We start from the raw sequence: 19146 nt of genomic DNA, 5'->3' as shown, positions 1-19146 counted from the left end.
CAAGACTCCATCTCAAAAACAAAAAAAGAAAAAGAAAAACTCAGCAATTTATAAGTAGGATAATATTAAATGAATGAGAAGGCAAGCCACAGAAGAAAATATTTGCAAAAGACACATCTGATAAAAGGGCTGTTATCCAAAATATACAAAAAAAAACTTCATAATACTCCACAGTAAGGAAATGGACAACCAGAATAAAAAATGAGCAAAAGACATGAATAGACATCTCACCAAAAAAGATACACAGGTGGCAAATGGGCATATAAAAGGATGCTAAATGTCTTATGTCACTGGAGAATTGCAAATTAAAACACCAATGAGATACCACTGCATACCTTGGAATGGTCAAAATTCAAAACACTAACACCAAATGCTAGCAAGAATGCAGAGCAATAAGAACTCTCGTTCATTGCTAGTAGGAATGCAAAATGGTACAGCCACTTTGGAAAAGAGTTTGGCAATTTGTTACAAAACTAAACATACTCTTACCATACAATTCAGCAATTGCACTCCTTGGTATTTACTCAAATCAGTTAATAACTAAGTCCACACAAAAACCTACACATAGAGGTTTTTAACAGTTTTATTCATAATTGCCACAGGTTGGAAGCAACCTATCTGTCCTTCAATTGGTGCTTGGATAAACAAACTATGGTACATCCAGACAATGAAATATTAGTCAGCACTAAAAAGAAATAACACCATGAAAAGACTTGGTGAAGTTTTAAATGCATATTACTAAGTGAAAGAAGCCAGTCTGAAAAGGCTAGATACTATATGATTCCAACTATACGACATTCTCAAAAAGAGAAAAGTATGGAGACAATAAAAAGATAAGTGGTTGTCAGGGGTTAGAATAGAGGGAGGGATGAATAGACAGAGCACAGAAGATTTTTTTAGGGCAGTGAAACTATTCTGTATGATACTGTAGTGGTGGATACATGTCACTGAACATTTTGTCAAAGGCCACAGAATGAACAACACTAATTTGAACAAAATTCTTTGGATGATAATGATATGTCAATGTAAGTTCATTGATTATAACAAATGTACCACTCAGGTGCTGGATATTGATAGCAGAGGAGACTGGTTGGGGGGCTATGGTATATGGGAACTCTCTGTACTTTCCACTTAATTTTGCTGTGAACCTAAAACTGCACTAAAAAATCAAGTCTATTTTATACATCACAACAAAGTGGGATTCATCTCATGAATGGAAGGCACCCCAGTGGAAATAAGCACACCTAGTTCTCACACTTGCTATCTAACATTATTCTTAACTGAAAACACTCAGGGCTTTTTGGGAAGTGGCTGATTCCAAGGCTGGGGTAAATACAAGATTATCCTAGAACATCTTGTTATATGAGAAATAGAAAAGTGCTCAAAAAACAAAACAAAAAATGATTGGAACATGACAGAAGGACAGAGGAGTCAGTTGAAAGATCACTCAGTAGGCAATTCCAGGAATTGGAAATTGACTGGAAAATTGGAGGCCCAAACTAAGTTCAATAATGAATTATAATCAGTTAGGGGGGAAAGAAAGAGTCTATTCAAATTAATTAAGGGAGAAGGGATGGCTCTTGATTACAGTAAAATGCCAAGTTTAACAGACAAATGTTGAGTGAGTGTTGAAGACAGAAGGTCATCCTTTTGCAACTATCATACTAAAGATTATTTCAGGCAAGAATGGTCAAAGAAAGCTAAACTGAGGGGGAAATTTTAATGAGCAACAGGATTGTATCGCCTTAAATTATCTCCCGACAGAATGCTTATTAATTGCAAAGGAGAAAGTAGAAACTATTAACATATAGTAGAAAAAATGGATAACCCTTTGATGAATAATTAAAATTAACATAAGGACATCATGTGTCTACAGATGCAATATCTTGAAAAGGACATGTCAGTTACATAGTATAAGTGCAAGGAGTACAGATTCTTTCTCTTTTCTTTTCTTTTTTTTTTTTTTTTTGAGAGGGAGTCTGACTCTGTCACTCAGGCTAGAGTGCAGTGGCGCAATTTCGGCTCACTGCAAGCTCCGCCTCTCGGGTTCACGCCATTCTCCTGCCTCAGCCTCCCGAGTAGCTGGGACTACAGGCGCCCGCCACCACGCCTGGCTAATTTTTTGTATTTTTAGTAGAGACGGGGTTTCACCATGTTAGCCAGGATGGCCTCAATCTCCTGACCTCATGATCCGCCCGCCTCGGCCTCCCAAAGTGCTGAGATTACAGGCATGAGCCGCCGCGCCCGGCCCAAGGAGTACAGATTCTAAATCTAATCCTAAGGAAACATCAGACAAATCCATAAAAAGGAATTTTCTATTTTAAAATGTGTGGGTAGGGGTAGAGGAGAAGCAAAGAAAGGCCAAGGCAATATTCCTATGTAAAGCTAACCAAAAGGCATGGCAACTCAATGTAATACCTGGTCCTACACTTAATTTCATACTGGAGGAAAACAAATGCTAGAAAAATTCATTGTTAGGTCAATTGATAAAACTGAAATACAGATAATAAAGTATTGTACCAATGTCAAATTTACTGAAGCTGATAATAATATAATGGCAATGTAAGATAATTTCCCTGTTTTTAGAAAATATACACTGAAATATTTAGGGACAAAGTGCCATAATGTAGGCAATTTACTCTCCAATGATTCAGATAAAAAATATATACCCTTCCATATATACACACACACACGCACACACGCATTCACACACACACACACAAAGAGAGAGAAAGAGAAAGACAAACAAAGTGGGAGACAGAAAGAAGATTGAGATGACAGAGCTCAAATCATAAATCAGATAGGGAAGAATGTTATCAAATACATGAATCTAGGCAAGGGGATAATGTACCATTCTTATTCTTGCAACTTTTCTGTGAGTTTGAAATTATTTCCAAATAAAAAAATTTTTTTAATGACACATATATGTAGATGGTGACACAGAAGTTCTGCAAAACAAATTATGTGAAAAAAGCAAGGTACTATAAAATCTGTATGATATAATTCCATTGTGCAAATTTTAAAAACATTAAAATCAGAAAAAGATTGAGACAGAGAAAGATAGATGAGGGTGTGCAAAATTTTAAAACTTCTCTGGAAAGATATTGAAAACAGATTGTTAACTATAATTATTTGTTCAGTATTGGAAGGGGAGCCTGAAGTGGTAGGAAAAAAAAGGCTTTTTGTTTTTTTCATTTTATACCTCTTTTACTCCTTAAATGTTTTACTTTGTGAATTTATTTTCGATAAGTTAAAAATGAAAGATATCTGATGAGGATGCATTTCCTTTTATTATACATGATAAACATCAGAGTGAATACAAACAATAATATATTATAATTTGGTTTGAACATTAAATTTCCTCCAGTATGTAGAATGTGTGTTTTTATATACTATTAGCCTAAGATGTTAAAGGTCTGGCCCTGGGAAAAAAAACTCCTCCTATTTATTTTCTGTTAAAGGAAAAACTTAAAATTATGAGGCCTCTGCTGGTCCAAAATATTTGAATGTTCAAATTCAAAATTGAAAAGCAGAGTTCAACTTTAAAGCTGTAATAAAACTGAAGCAAGAATGGGCCCACCCTACTTCCTTTCTTACTGTACTCAGCCTCGGGCATTTTCAGAGGAATAAAAAAAAAAAAGTGGCTTTTCTTGTTCATGTTCAATACTGGACACCATCCTATACTACTTAATTTGAAATATAGTTTTTTTAATACCTCAAAACCACCTGATACTAATTCATCTGTTCTAATGTTCCAGGGTTACATCCAGATGCAATGGCTTGTATATGGATGGTTTGTCCCCCACCAAATATGTTGAAATCTGATCCCCAGTGTGAAGGTGTTAGGAGGTGAGGTTAGTGGGAGGTGTTTGGATTATGGGGGTGCATCCCTCAGGAATGGCTTGGTTCTGCTCTTATGGTACAGTGAGTGTGTTCTCACTACTAAAATACTGGATTAGTTCTCATGGGGATGAATGAGTTCCTCAAAAATGGGTGCTATAAAACTAGGATGCCCCTCAGGTTTACCCTCCTTTTCACCTCTCTGCTTCCCCTTTGACCTTCTCCACCATGCTGTGAGGAAGCATGAAATTCCTCACCAGAAGCCAAGGCCATGCCCTTGAACTTCTCAGCTAGGAAAAATGTGAGTTAAATAACATCTTTTCTTTATAAATTACCCAGTCTCAGGTATTCTTTTGGAGCAACACAAAACAGACAAAGACAATATCCAACTAAGAAAATGTTCCTTCTCTTTGGTACTTTTTAAAGGATCAGCCCAACTAGTTATGGCCTCCTAAAACCATGCCCAAAAGCCCTCTAAAGCAGTGCCTCTTGAACTTAAATTGTGCCTATGAATCACCTAGGATTACTGTTAAAATTCAGATTTTGATTCAGTAGGGTCTGGGAAGGGCAGCCGTCTGCATTTCTAACCAATCCTCTGGTGATGTTGATGCTGGGGTCTACAGACCATCAGGTTGAGTAGCGAAGTTCTACAAGATCGAGTATGGCTAAGGATGGTGCACAGGCCTGAGTTTTCCCCTGCTTACCTTTTTTTTTTTAAAAAAAAAGAAGAACAAAAAACTAGTTATTTTATCCCTGCTTTTATCAACCTAGAGATCCTCAGGGCTACTCGAAGGCAGACACTGTATCACTTTCAACTATTCTTGATGGACTGAGACATACCAGAAATTTTAGTCCCACTGGGCCTTTTAAAAAGGCCCATATAGGGGCCAGGCACAGTGGGTCATGCCTGTAATCCCAGCACTTTGGGAGGCCAAGGCGGGAGGATCACAAGGTCAATAGATCAAGACCATCCTGGCCAACATGGTGAAACCCCATCTCTACTTAAAAAAATACAAAAATTAGCTGAGTGTGGTGGCACGCACCTGTAATCCCAGCTACTCTGGAGGCTGAGGCAGGAGAATCACTTGAACCGGCAGGCAGAGGTTGCAGTGAGCCAAGATTGCACCACTGCACTCCAGCCTCGGCAACAAGAGTGAAACTCCATCTCAAAAAAAGAAAAAAAAAAGAAAAAAAAAGGCTCATATACACTTGTGAAATGTGCTCATCTTGCATATTTAAGGCTAATGATCATAATGTTAAAGAAAAAAGGTCAACAGCTGACTAGATGTCTACCTAGTAGAAGAAAAAACTTATAATCATGTTGCCAGAATGTTACTCTGGTAAAAAACATGTTGTGGACTTAAACTATGGGGAAGCTCCAGCCCACAAGCATTATCAAACTGTTTTAAGAAGAGTCGTTTAGAAGGCACTTTTCTATATGTGCATATCTGTCATGCTAAGTCCACAAGTAGCCTCTGTATGAAGCAAGCATCATGTATATTACTTCTGACAGCAACTATTGTCTTCATTCTGTGTCTCTTACAAGCCCGTCAGCAAGAGCAGTACTGTCTGCCTCAGGACGTACTTACACATCCATTACACCTGCAGGAGACTAATGTTTTAAGACTTATGGTTAATTGTCCCTTGCAAAAAGGACATGCATAAAAAGGTATGGAAAACCCATAAAATCCATGGAATATCAATCATAATGTAAAAATAATTAATCCCTCAAGATAAGTGACTTAGCAGGAAACAGTCCAGGTTTTATTAAATACTAAAGACCCCGTTGCATTCTCTGAACTGTTTAAAAGGAAAGTCTGTTGACATCAAACATGTAGCCCACATGGATTAAATTAGGTCACTCTTTGTGTTACAGTTTAAGATTTCATAAAGTACAGCTTGTGGTTAAATCATGTGTTTCAGTTCTGAAGGGCTGGTTGATGACTTCCCAATCTTTTCAATATTGTACCACTAGTGATATTTACCCAGGCACCACCACAGCACTTTTCAATCTGGTCTTAATAATCTAGCCCTCGGTTTTGTAGCCCACTTCACATTTTGATTCCTAATAAACAAATATTTGTGGTGTGTTTGTGGGCCGTTTAACTGCTGACATATTTGGCTCAGGACAGCATTCCATTTAGAAAGGGGACACACATCTGTGGCCCCTGGGCTAAATGTTGCTGAAAATGAGGTTTCATGGGAAGCAATGGGTCTTTTTTTTTGTTTGAAAGGTTCAGTGACAGCTGACGGCGACTAAACTGGGACCACTATTCAAGGGGGACAATTCTTCAGAAGAGTCTCACGAGGAATTTTTCTTCTCCCTCCCCCACCCCTAACTCTATTTGAGAGCAACAAATGCTAAAGCATTAGTGGATTTTCAGATAAGCAGGATACAGAGAAGACAATGGAAAGGAGAGATTTCCTTTATACATATGCAAGGTCTCTGGATGTCACAGTTTCTGAACTCCTTAGCATGACTCTGGGCATAGACTTAACCACTTGGGAGCTCACAAAGACAAAGAATGTTTATTCATCTCAACATCTTCCTGTTTCCAGGATTAGAGGCTGTCAAAAACAAAGACATCAGCAAGTCCATTCTGTCTGTCTTGTTTCACTTAATTCATTTTGTTTGCAGTCATAACAAGCATGTTATTTATTTAGTTGTAAGTACATACCAAAGAAAGGATGCATTCACTTTAATCCTTTAATTTAACAAGATCACATACTTTAGGAAGCCAAAGGCTTTACAGCAAGATTAGGATAAAGAGTTCTGTTTCCTCTTAGATTAAAATAGATATCCTGAATATTTGATTTCTGGTATATCATTATGCTTGATATTTAGGTGCTCTCTTGCTGAGGTCTAAATTAGTATGTTTATTAAATTCCCTCTAAGTGGCATTTTACCCACTGTGTTTACATTTAGAATCATCTTTCATGATAAAGTCTGTCATAAAATGGGAAAACTGATTTACTGCCTACATTTCTTCCAAGTTTGGTAGCTAAGACCCATCTGTCAACAGAAATAAAGTGTACACACACACACACACACACACACACACACACACACACACACACGCTTTGTTTCCTTAAAAGATGTGCAGCCTTTTAGCCCACCTCCCTTCTTAGTTCAGTTTAGTTCAGTTTTTAACAGTAGAAGATAGTCCAAATTGGTTTGTTTTCTTTTCTGATTCTTGCCAAAATTTTTCTTTCAGGGCACCCTCTGCACCATCAGGAGGTCAGGCTGGGTTTGCATTCAAAATCTTCTCCTGCCTAAAAAGGTTTAGGCAGAAACAAACTTTTTTTTTTTTTTTTTGAGACGGAGTCTCGCTCTGTCGCCCAGGCTGGAGTGCAGTGGCGGGATCTCGGCTCACTGCAAGCTCCGCCTCCCGGGTTCACGCCATTCTCCTGCCTCAGCCTCCCAAGTAGCTGGGACTACAGGCGCCCGCCACTACGCCCGGCTAATTTTTTGTATTTTTAGTAGAGACGGGGTTTCGCCGTTTTAGCCGGGATGGTCTCGATCTCCTGACCTCGTGATCCGCCCGCCTCGGCCTCCCAAAGTGAGAAACAAACTTTTGAATAAGAAATTACTTATTTGGCAAACCATCATTCAAGCATCTAGTCTTGTGGTATAGATTGAGATAAATTTTAAAATAAATAATTAGCTTAGCTTGAGAAAACAAACACCAAAATATGTTAACCTATGAATGAAAATCTTACATGGTTTCAGTCACAAAAAGACTATCAAAATAGTCAATCAGTTTCCACAAAGATTCTGGAGTGACCAGCTTTTATTCAGATGACTTACTGCCGCCAGATCTGGCTGGCCTACACACAAGTAAGGAAGGCCTTTAACAAATGGTGAGATATTTGAGAGTTAGGTAAAGGCCTGGTGGCACAAAGATCTGTCATCTAGAATTTGCTGCAATGACTGTACTTCCTGCATTGGTCTTCTCTTTACATAGAAAAGTAGAGCCATCTCTTGCCCAGCTCATGGATCCTCTGTCCACTCTCTCTACCATTTGCTGTTCAACCTCTAAGACAACCTATTCCAAGCCTGTACAACTCAAACCACCAGCATAATAAAAAGCACACCATCGAGCCAGGAGTACTCAGTAACATCTCAGCCTACAGTGAGTCATCGGGTTAAGTAATCCAAACACCTGGTAGTTCCAGAAGAACTGGCATTCAGGGAAGGTAACTTATGGTGGGAGGGAAGGGAGGCAAATGTCTGAAGAATAGTCAGGTGTCATGAGGGAAGCTGGGCTTCTGAAAAGAGAAGTAGCTTATGCATAGTACAAACAGCACTGGAGGCTTAAAGTGAAACAGGCCTGAGTTCGTGCTCCTGCTTCTTCATCATCATTTGTCAGGCAGTGTTCCAAATACCACTACACATAGTGATACATTTAATCCTCCCAACAACCCTAGGACAAAAGAACTATTAGTATTATTATCTCCATTTTACAGATAGGAAAACTGAGCTACAGAAAGGTTTTGTGTGTGTGTGTGTGTGTGTGTGTGTGCACGTGTGTTTTTGAGACAGAGTCTTGCTCTGTCGCCCAGGCTGGAGTACAGTGGCACGATCTGGGCTCACCACAACCTCCGCTTACCAGGTTCAAGCCATTCTCCTGCCTCAGCCTCCCGAGTAGCTGGGACTTCAGGCACCTGCCACCATGCCCGGCTAGTTTTTTTTTTTTTTTTTTTTTTTTTTTTTTTTGTATTTTTAGTGGAGACGGGGTTTCACTATGTTGGCCAGGCTGGTCTTGAACTCCTGACCTCATTATCCACCCACCTCGGCCTCCCAAAGTGCGGGGATTATAGGCAGGAACCACCACACCCAGCCAAGCTACAGAAAGTTTTCAGTAACTTGCCCAATTTCCCACAGCTAGTAAGGGATGAGGCTGGAATTTGAATCCAGACCAGACTGGATCAAAAAGTCCACGTTTTCAACAAACTTTATGCTAAGTTTATGATGCCCCATAAAGTAGGTGACATAACCTCTGAGTCCCAAGGCTCAATTCAGAAAACTGGACATAAAAATACTTAAGTACCAGCTATGCTGTGAGAATTCAATGTGAATACACATGGTAATCATCATTAAAAATAAATTTCCTTCTTAGAAGAGGTATCTGCAGAAAAGGAAACAAAGAGGGCATGAAAGGGGAGCTTTGCCTGCCTCACTCTTTGGCTGTCATGTTCATGGGCTTCTCACCAACTCTCCACATGTGTCCAGCCTGCTGGGCTCCTCCAATTGCTCCTCCAGCCCTGTCTGGAGATAAATGAACAACTGCTTGAGTAGGGCCACAGGGCACTTTCATCTCCAGCAGAACAGAAAGGAACAATCAAGCAGAGAATATTAATAACAAGCCATATCCTCGTCTTCTGGAACTGCTATGGAAAACTTGGGTTATTTGTTTCAATGTGTTTTCATTCTCACTACATGAACAAAATTCCTTAGCGCTAACTGGAAAAGAATTGCCTGCCGAGAATTACTTCCACTTACCAGAAATTGCCTTTTCCCCTTTGCTTTATATTTTCCAAATCAAGGCACTGTTTTGATGTTCTCACATCAACAAAAATGTATTCACTGCCCACGAAGATTCTGGAGGAGGCTGTTGCAGGACCAGCAGAAATTGCACCCAACTGGGATTAGAAAAAGTGAGTTCTACTCCTGGGTCTTCATTCTTCTTAGGGATCCCTGATTTAACTCCTTCATATTTCTTGACTGTTCCCTTGTAAACTGCAGTAATCTCCCTTGTTCCTTTCCAGCTCTAACTAAGAGAGGTCTTAGTCACATGGCACTGTGCTTGCTCTTTGTACAAAGCAATTAATTGAAAAGTAGAAAACAGAAATCCCTCAAATTGCCATTTTAGTGCTGAATTGAAATTTCATCCTATTAAGAGAACAACTACTGAATTCAGTCCTATATACTTGGGCATGTGGAACTATCAAAAGAGACATATGCTGACCTATCACAGAAACACCAAAAGGTTCAAGTTACTCTCTGGGGGTAACAAGGTTACTGTTTGAGTCTGTGTTAACTCTTCCAAAATACTTGTCAATAAATGTTTATTCAGGAAAAAAAAAATGTCATTTATCCAGTCCACCAGTCACAAGACTCCCAACTCTCCTCCTCTAAGTGATTGCTCTTGTTCCCTCTGAATGAATACCTGTCCCAGGGTCCTTCTAAGGCTGGTTTTTTTCTCATTGTTCCAGTCTCACCTAAATGTCAACTTCTCCAAGAGCCCTTCCCTGACCCCTTAATCTAAAGTCACTCTCTATCATGTGTTATTACTGCATTAGTTTGCCAGGGCTGCCATAACAAAGTATCACAAACTGGTTGGCTTAAGCAATGGAAATATATTGTCTCATATCCTTTCACAGTTCTGGAGACTAGAAGTCTGAAATCAGGGTATTAACAGGTTCGTTCCTTCTGATGACTCTGAGAAAGAATCTCTTCCATCCTTCTCTCCTAGCTTCTGGAGATTTGCTAACAATCTTTGGCATTCCTTGGCTTGTAGAAGCATGACCTCAGTCTCTGCCTTCATCTTCACATGGCATTCTCCTTCTCTGTAAGTCTGTCCCCAAATTTCCCCTTTTCATAAGGCCATCAGTCATACTGGATAAGGGGTCCACCCTATCCAGTATAACTTCATCTTCTCTAATTACATCTTCAGTGACCCCATTTCCAAATAAGTCATAGTCTGAGGTACTTGGGATAAGGACTTCAACATATGAATGGGGTTGGGGGTAGCACAATTCAACCTATAACAATTAAACTTTTACATTTCCTTCACAGAAGATTTCCCAAGCTTATTGTCTTTCTTTCTAAATTTTATTTAATTTTAGATTCGGGGGTACATGTGCAGGTTTGTAACACAGGTATAATACATAATGCTGAAAATTCGGTTTCTAATGATCCCATCACCCAAGTCGTGAATATAGTACCAGATAGGTAGTTTTTCAACCCTTGCCCTACTTCCCTCCCTCCCCTTTTTTAGAATCCCTAGTATGTATTGTTCCCATCCTTATGTCCCTGTGTACCCAACGTTTAGCCCCCACTTATAAATGAGAACATGAGTTATTTGGTTTTCTGTTTCTGTGTTAATTTGTTTAAGATAATGGCCTCCAGCTGCATCCATGTTGCTGCAAAGAGCGTGATGCTGAGCTTTTTTATGGCTGCATAGTATTCTGTGATGTACCACATCTTCTTTATCCAATCCACCACTGATGGGCACCTGAGTTGATTCCATGTCTTTGCTATTGTGAATAGTGCTGTAATAAACATATGAGTACAGGTGTCTTTTTGGTAGAATAATTTATTTTCCTTTGAGTATATAACCAGTAATGGGATTCCTGGCTCAAATGGTAGTTCTATTTTTAGTTTTTTGAGGAATCTCCAAATTGCTTTCCACAGTGGCTGAACTAATTTGCATTCCCACCAAGAGTATATAAGCATTCCTTTTTCTCTGCAACCTCACCAGCATCTGTTATTTTTTGACTTTTTAATAATAACCATTCTGAATGATGTGAGATGGCATCTCATTGTGGTTTTAACTTGTATTTCTCTGATGATTAGTAATGTTGAGCATTTTTTCATATATTTTCTGGCCACTACATATATATCTTTTGAGAAGTATCTGTTCATGTCCTTTGCTCACTTTGTAATGGGGTTATTTGGTTTTTGCTTGTGGATCTGTTTAAGTTCCTTACAGATTCTGGATATTAGTCCTTTTACAGATGTGTACTTTGCAGATATTTTCTCTCATTCTGTAGGTTGTCTGTTTACACTGCTGATAGTTTCTTTTGCTGGGCAGAAGCTCTTTAATTAGGTCCCACTTGTCAATTTCTCTTTTTGTTGCATCTGCTTTTGAGAACTTAGTCATAAATTATTTGCCTAGGCCAATATCTAGAAGAGTACTTCCTACATTTTCTTCTAGGATTTTTATAATTTGAGATTGTGACATCCATCTTGAATCTTTAATCCATCTTGAGTTAATTTTTATATACAGTGAGAAGTAGCAGTCCAGTTTCACTCTTGTGCATATGGCTAGCCAGTTTTCCCAGCACAATTTATTGAATAGAATATCCTTTCTCCATTGTTTATTTTTGTTGGCTTTGTTGACGATCCACTTGGCTGTAGATGTGTGGCTTTATTTCTGGGGTCTCTAATCTGTTCCATTTGTCTACTGACTACTGATTTCTGTATATTAATTATGTTACTAGCTACTTTGCAAATTTCCTCATTGGTATATAATAATTCTGGAGCTTTAAAAAATATTAGCCATCACATTAATATATAGATTTATAGAAAATTAATTAGGATATTTGGATTCATTCATTCACAAATATTTATTGAGTATACACTATATGTCAGGAAATCTTCAAGGCTCTAGATATCAGGCCATCATTAGCTTGGGAGGTATTTTTTAAGAATTCACTTCCTTAAGATATTTTACTTATATCTGTTTGGAAATCATTGTATATCCTGATTTTATTGAAAGAGAGTGTTGTACTGCCTTTGCTGAATAATTTTGGCAATAAACATGCACATCTATGATGTCTGTGATTTGAATCACATCCTCTTGAATTGTGCTGCCATCATGTAGCGTACAATCTGCACAAATGCAGCAGCCATGGAAACTGGTGAGTAAGATGGTAAAGAATTCTGCTGTCTTGCAGCTTACCTTCGGCTAAGGAAACAGAGTTTTCACCATCACAATGAGCTTATAGGGCTAATGGAGGGTATTCCTAAAATCATCATTATTTTTGTCTCCTGCTATCTCTTTAAACCTTGTTAGTAGAAGTCATCCTTCCCTTGACTTTTCCATGAAAACTCTAGCAGTCCTATGATCTTTCTTTTGATTCTTAAGTAATAATAAACTACACCTAGGAATAAACTTACAAGGGATGGGAAGGACATCTTCAAGGAGAACTACAAACCACTGCTCAAGGAAATAAGAGAGAACACAAACAAATGGAAAAACATTCCATCCTTATGGCTAGGAAGAACCAATATGGTGAAAATGGCCATATTGCCCACACTAATTTATAGATTCAGTGCTATCCCCATCAAGCTACCATCATTGACTTTCTTCACAGAATTGGAAAAAACTACATTAAATTTCATATGGAACCAAAAAAGAGGCCATATAGCCCAGACAATCCTAAGCAAAAAGAACAAAGCTGGGGCATCATGCTACCTGACTTCAAACTATACTAGAAGGCTACAGTAACCAAAATAGCATGGTACTGGTACCAAAACAGATATATAGACCAATGGAGCAGAACAAAGGCCTCAGAAATAATGCCACACATCTACAACCACCTGATCTTTGACAAACCTGATAAAAACAAGCAATGGGGAAAGGATTCCCTATTTAATAAATGGTGTTGGGAAAACTGGCTAGCCATATGCAGAAAACTGAAACTGGACCCCTTCCTTACACCTTATACAAAAATTAACTCAAGATAGATTAAAGACTTAAATGTAAGACCTAAAACCATAAAAACCCTAGAAGAAAACCTAGTTAACACCATTCAGGACATAGGCATTGGCAAAGACTTCGTGACTAAAACACCAAAAGCAATAGCAAAAAAACCCAAAATTGACAAATGGGACCTAATTAAACTAAAGAGCTTCTGCACAGCAAAAGAAACTACCATCAGAGTGAATAGGCAACCTACAGAATGGGAGAAAAATTTTGCAATCTATCCATCTGACAAAGGGCTAATCTCCAGAATCTACAAGGAACTTAAACAAATTTACAAGAAAAAACAAACAACCCCATCAAAAAGTGAGTGAAGGATATGAACAGATACTTCTCAAAAGAAGACATTTATGTGGCCAAAAAACAAATGAAAAAAAGCTCATCATCACTGGTCATTAGAGAAATGCATATCAAAACCACAATGAGATACCATCTCACGCCAGTTAGAATGGCGATCATTAAAAAGTCAGGAAACAACGGATGCTGGAGAGGATGTGGAGAAATAGGAATTCTTTCACACTGTTGGTGGGAGAGTAAATTAGTTCAACCACTGTGGAAGACAGTGTGGCGATTCCTCAAGGATCTAGAACTAGAAATACCATTTGACCCAGCAATCCCATTACTGGGTATATACCCAAAGAATTATAAATCATTCTACTATAAAGACACATGCACAGGTATATTTATTATAGCACTATTCACAATAGCAAAGACTTGGTACCAACCCAAACGCTCATCAATGATAGACTGGGTAGAGAAAATGTGGCACATATACAATAGCAAAGACTTGGTACCAACCCAAATGCCCATCAGTGATAGACTGGATAAAGAAAAGTAGCACATATACATCATGGAATACTATGCAGCCATAAAAAAGATGAGTTCATGTCCTTTGTTGGGACATGGATGAAGCTGGAAACCATCATTCTCAGCAAACTAACACAGGATCAGAAAACCAAACACTGCATGTTCTCACTCATAAGTGGGAGTTGAACAATGAGAACACATGGACACAGGGAGGGGAACATCACACACTGGGGCCTGTCGGGGGGTGGGGTGCTAGGGGAGGGATAGCATTAGGAGAAATACCGAATGTAGATGATGGGTTGATGGGTGCAGCAAACCACCATGGCACGTGTATACCTGTGTAACAAACCTGCACGTTCTGCACATGTATCCCAGAACTTAAAGCATAAAATAAATCAATAAATGAATGAATAAATTAAATTAAATTAAATTAAAAAAGGAAAGTGCAGGAGCACTCACTTCCCCTGCCCCTCCCTGCTAGCATACTCATGAATGGGCAAGGGTCATTCATGGCGAGAAAAGACTACCCTACGGTGGCACTACAAGGGAATTCTAAAACATTGCCTCACTGTTGCCCTAAAAGTCACTTAGCTGGAACGTTATGATTCAAGTCTTAGCTCAAATGTTATGCCCTCAGAGAAGGTATGCCTAACTACCCCCATCTAATGCCCCACACTCCACAATCACTTCCTATTGTTTTGCAATCTTTAAGATGTTCTCCATAGGCCTAATTCCTGTAAATTATATTTGTTTACTTGCTTACAGTCTGTATCTTTCAGGGAGAATGAAAGCAGAACACTATATTCCCAACATCTAGAATGGTTCCTGGAGCACTTATGATACTCAATACATTTTTAAATTAATTTGTACCTTCTTACTCCTTTGAAAGTTATCATGGCTTCAGGGTTATTTCTTCTAGTTCATCTGTTTCAATGGTATTACCCTCAGCTTACTTAATATTTGTTGGACACCTAATATGTATCTGACACTGTTCTAGACGCTTAGGATACAGTAGAGAAAAACAAATCTCTGCCTTGATGAAGTTTCTATATTACTGCAAAGAGTTCTTAATAAACAAATGAATAAATATATACCCTGTTAGACATATGAGCGCTGTGAGGGGGAAATTAAAGCAAGATAAGAGAGTAGAAAGTGATGGGCTGGTGGACACAAAGCCCTGATGGAAGATCATGGAATATCTGAAGGATTGAGGGAAAGAGCCAAACAGGTAACTGACAGAAGAGCACTGCAGGCAGCCACATGTCAAAGCCCTGAGGAGGAGCATGCTTTGGGGCCCAAGGTGGACAAGACACGAGGTCAGGAGATTGAGACCATCCTGGCTAACATGGTGAAACCCCATCTCTACTGAAAATACAAAAAATTAGCCAGGCATGGTGGCAGTCGCCTGTAGTCCCAGCTACTTTGGAGGCTGAGGCAGGAGAATGGTGTGAACCCGGGAGGTGGAGCTTGCAGTGAGCTGAGATCATGCCACTGCACTCCAGCCTGGGCAGCAGAACAAGACTCTGTCTCAAAAACAAACAAACAAACAAAAAGAAACTAGGAACTAATGTGGCAGGCAGAGAGTGAATAAGGTAGAGACTGGTGGGAAATGAGGTAGGTAAGAAGGTAACTGGGGACTAAATCTGGTGGACCCCTGTGGACCCTGGTAAGGACTTGGGCTTTTATTCTTAGTGAGATGAGGAATCATCCTGAGGGTTCTGGAGTAGAATGATCTCTCTTTTTGAAAGTAAACTGAGGCTGCCAAGTGTGGTAACAGACCATGGCTTAGTGGGAGTAGAAGTGGAGGTGAGAATAAAGGACAGAGGCCATACTGGCTCTATTGCAATAGCACAGGTGAGAAATAATGCTGGCTTGGACTAGGAAATAGGGGAGAAAGTATTTGGGTACATCTTTTGAAGAAAGAGTCAATGGAATTTACAGAAAGATTCAATGAGGGATATAAAAGCAAATATCAAGGTCCAGATTTCAGTTCTTTCCTCTAACCTTTCTGCTTTAAGTTCCTCTAGTGAATTCCTAATTATATCTCCTTGACAAGCTACTAACCTCACCTGGGTCTTCCTCCACAGGGCAGGGCCTGGTTCCCACTCTGGATCCCCTTCATGATCATGCAACTAGCTGAAAAGCACTTGCTCCATACATAGTTATCATGAGGAGCCCTTATCTGCCTCTCCTGCTTTATCTTACCAATCTCTATTATCACCCTGCACTCAAATCAAAATATCCTGCCTCTGAAACATTCAAATCCCATCTGTTCCATAAAGCTCACTTGGTCTAATCTCTATGTCCTTTAAAATTTATAGAAATTGTAAAATTCATCAGGAAAGCAATTATGTTTTGCATTGTGACATGTCTTCTTGTCAATTTAAATGTTTTATTATTCCTTAATATTTCATGCAATCTTATATCATTAATGAAAATATAACTTCTTCATGGGCAGAAAAATCTACCTTATATTCCTTTATATTCTCTTATCACATAGCATTTACTGACACATAGTGCCCTGTATTTAGTAGATGATGAATAAAAACGAACTCATATGATTATATAAACTTGATTATATTCTGGCTCTAGTTTCTCCCTCCATTTCCTCACCTTCCATCTCCTTATTGTTCCCACATAACCAATCACACAGCCCCTCAAATGTGTCTGTTTTAGCTGAAAACATGGTTAATAAAGGGAAGAAATGTAATATATAACTAGAAGGATAAGCTGCAGTTTTATCTTGGGGTCTACAATGCAAGACTAGAGACCTAACACTTAATTTGGTAGGCAAATGTAAATTTTTAAACGTTTTTGAACAAGGAGATGCCATGACAATAGCCATGTTTTAGTAAAGAAGGTTAATGTACCTACCTGTATATTATGGATTCTAAGGGAAATAGGTGAGTGAGTGCTGACATTCCTGATCTAACTACTGAGCGGGTTCATGTGAGAAGTATTAAAGGTCAGAAATAAAGCACTGGCTGGCAAAGAAATGTGAAGTATGCAGTAGAAGGGGGTTAGATATCATGACTGAAAAAGAGGAGTTACATGTGAGAGGTTTTAATGTTCAGTTCCTGGGAAAAACAATTATTACATCATTAATAGAAACAGTGAAGTCAAGGAAAAGTCAATTGCAGAAAGAGCACAGTGAATTATTTTCAACATTCTGAATTTGAGATGGCATCATTTATCCACATAGAGCCACCTTGGAGGCAATTGGAGATTAAGGGTTATAAGTTAAAAGAAATGTCTGTAATAGAGATAGAGTTTTATGAGAGACAACGGTTTGCAAAAGCACAACCTTCAGCTTTCCCCAATTTAGCCTGTTTTCCTGACTTAGACAAATCCAGCTGCCACAGCTTAAATTATCTCCAACAACTAGCTTGTAACAGGGATATTCAAGAGACAGAGGGATAAAGGATTAGAAAGAAGGTCCTGCTGTGGCTGAAGCTGCGATTACAAGCTGGACTCCTGCTCTCATGTGAACATCTTTCCTTAATTTACTCAAATTCTTCCCTCATTATGTTATTGGGATATCAAGTCTGGCCAGTGAATTTCTCTCAAATACATTCTGTACCAGTAAATTTCATAGTAATAATATACTAAATATGATAACTAACATGAATTACAGTCATAATGCCTTTTCAGAATTCATGCTGCTGTTTATGTTTAAGTTGTGATATTATTGACTTGCCTTAGTCAACCACACACCATACATGATTTCTAGAAACTGCACTCTCCAGAAAGCCTGGTGCCATTCCATATAGATCACGCACTGCATTTACAGTCAACTCTCCCAGTTGATAGAAGCATGAATCCAAACATGAACTCAGCAAACCTAAGGGAGTGGTTTTGCTGAATTGCATCAATATCTATTGGAAGCAATGGTGAATGAATCATAAAACAGCAAAGGAGTATGGATGTATTTAAAAAGGATTGAAAAAGAACACAAGTGTGATTTCTATTGAGTCTCAAAAGGTAAACCTCTAACTTATAGGCAGGAAATCCAAGAAGAAAAGTACTACCTATAACCCTAGACAAATAGAAAAAGGAATAACAAAAATTACAGCAGAAAGACCAAACCAATCATTATGAGAACAACCAAGTTTACAGTTTATGTGAGGAATTTATACAGAAAATTGACAGTGGGAAAGTGCAGAGATAGACTCTCTGAATGGGTTTCAAGTTCTGAGAACTGACTGAAATTGACAATGAAGAATTTCATGCACTTTTCTCTAGGTTTGTATCTCTTGTAACTGCACATACAAATAAATAATCACTCAATGTACACACAAAAGTTCCTTACTTGAAGGCAAATGAATTATGCAATTATAAAATTATTTCAATATTACATCTGTAAAAGAAGCTTTAGAAACCAACAGTTTCAAAAGAGACTCCAGATGAAATGTAATGTGCTAATTTGGGAAGCTGCAACTTTAAACACTAGGAATGTAAGCATATCAAAAGAAAAAAAGGTTAAGTGTAGGTTAATATCTCTTAAATTCCATTTTTATTACTTTGTCCGTATAACACATATAATGATTTCAAATCAATATTTAACTATTCGGTTGTCATAAATTTCTTAGGCACCAGGAGAGAAAAAGAATAGGAGGAAGAAAACAAAACAGTTCTATAGGGAATAAAGCACTGATTTAAATGTTAATGTTTGTTAGAGAAACACTAACATTGTCTTTGGGGTAGGTGTGTGTGTGTGCACAAGTGAACTCATGCTCACGTGTGCATGAGTGCTTTGGCAGGGGAAAGGTATTCTCACTACCTCAGACATTGTGTGAAAAACCAAAATCAGATCTAATGAAGCAATGGGGACGCAAATAATTAGTGTTTGATAATGCTAAGTAAAAGGATTCTGACTCTCTGAATAAGGTGTAGAAAAATAAACAGAAATGAAACAAAATCTAAAATGAAAACTTCTACGAGTTACTGGGTATATCTTTGTGGAGGCTGAACATTTGACAGCAATAAACAACTCTAAGAAAAGAGTGCC

At 38.5% G+C, this 19146-nt stretch overlaps 1 long non-coding RNA gene across 3 annotated transcripts in view, besides 1 other annotated feature; it reads right to left on the bottom strand.

The window, feature by feature from the left end:
- LOC105376107 (uncharacterized) overlaps window positions 1–19146 on the bottom strand; it is a 378142-nt gene that overhangs the window by 178560 nt on the left and 180436 nt on the right. For 2 of the 3 annotated variants that reach the window (XR_002956915.2, XR_002956913.1), the window contains exon 1: window positions 9053–9113. The exons of the other annotated variant lie outside the window; for it this stretch is intronic. This is a non-coding gene — a long non-coding RNA (uncharacterized LOC105376107). Of the gene's footprint in view, window positions 1–9052; window positions 9114–19146 lie in introns of those variants that run through there. 3 annotated transcript variants of the gene reach the window in all.
- Window positions 6038–6567: an enhancer, noted in NCBI's record as "NANOG hESC enhancer chr9:84785175-84785704 (GRCh37/hg19 assembly coordinates)". NCBI's record gives its function as "activates a minimal SCP1, AML or CMV promoter by ChIP-STARR-seq in primed H9 embryonic stem cells {active_cell/tissue: H9 hESC(primed)}" and the evidence as "EXISTENCE:reporter gene assay evidence [ECO:0000049][PMID:30033119]".

Source organism: Homo sapiens, chromosome 9 (assembly GCF_000001405.40).
Source record: "Homo sapiens chromosome 9, GRCh38.p14 Primary Assembly".
NCBI lineage: Eukaryota > Metazoa > Chordata > Mammalia > Primates > Hominidae > Homo > Homo sapiens.
This window is presented reverse-complemented; position numbering and strand designations above follow the sequence as displayed.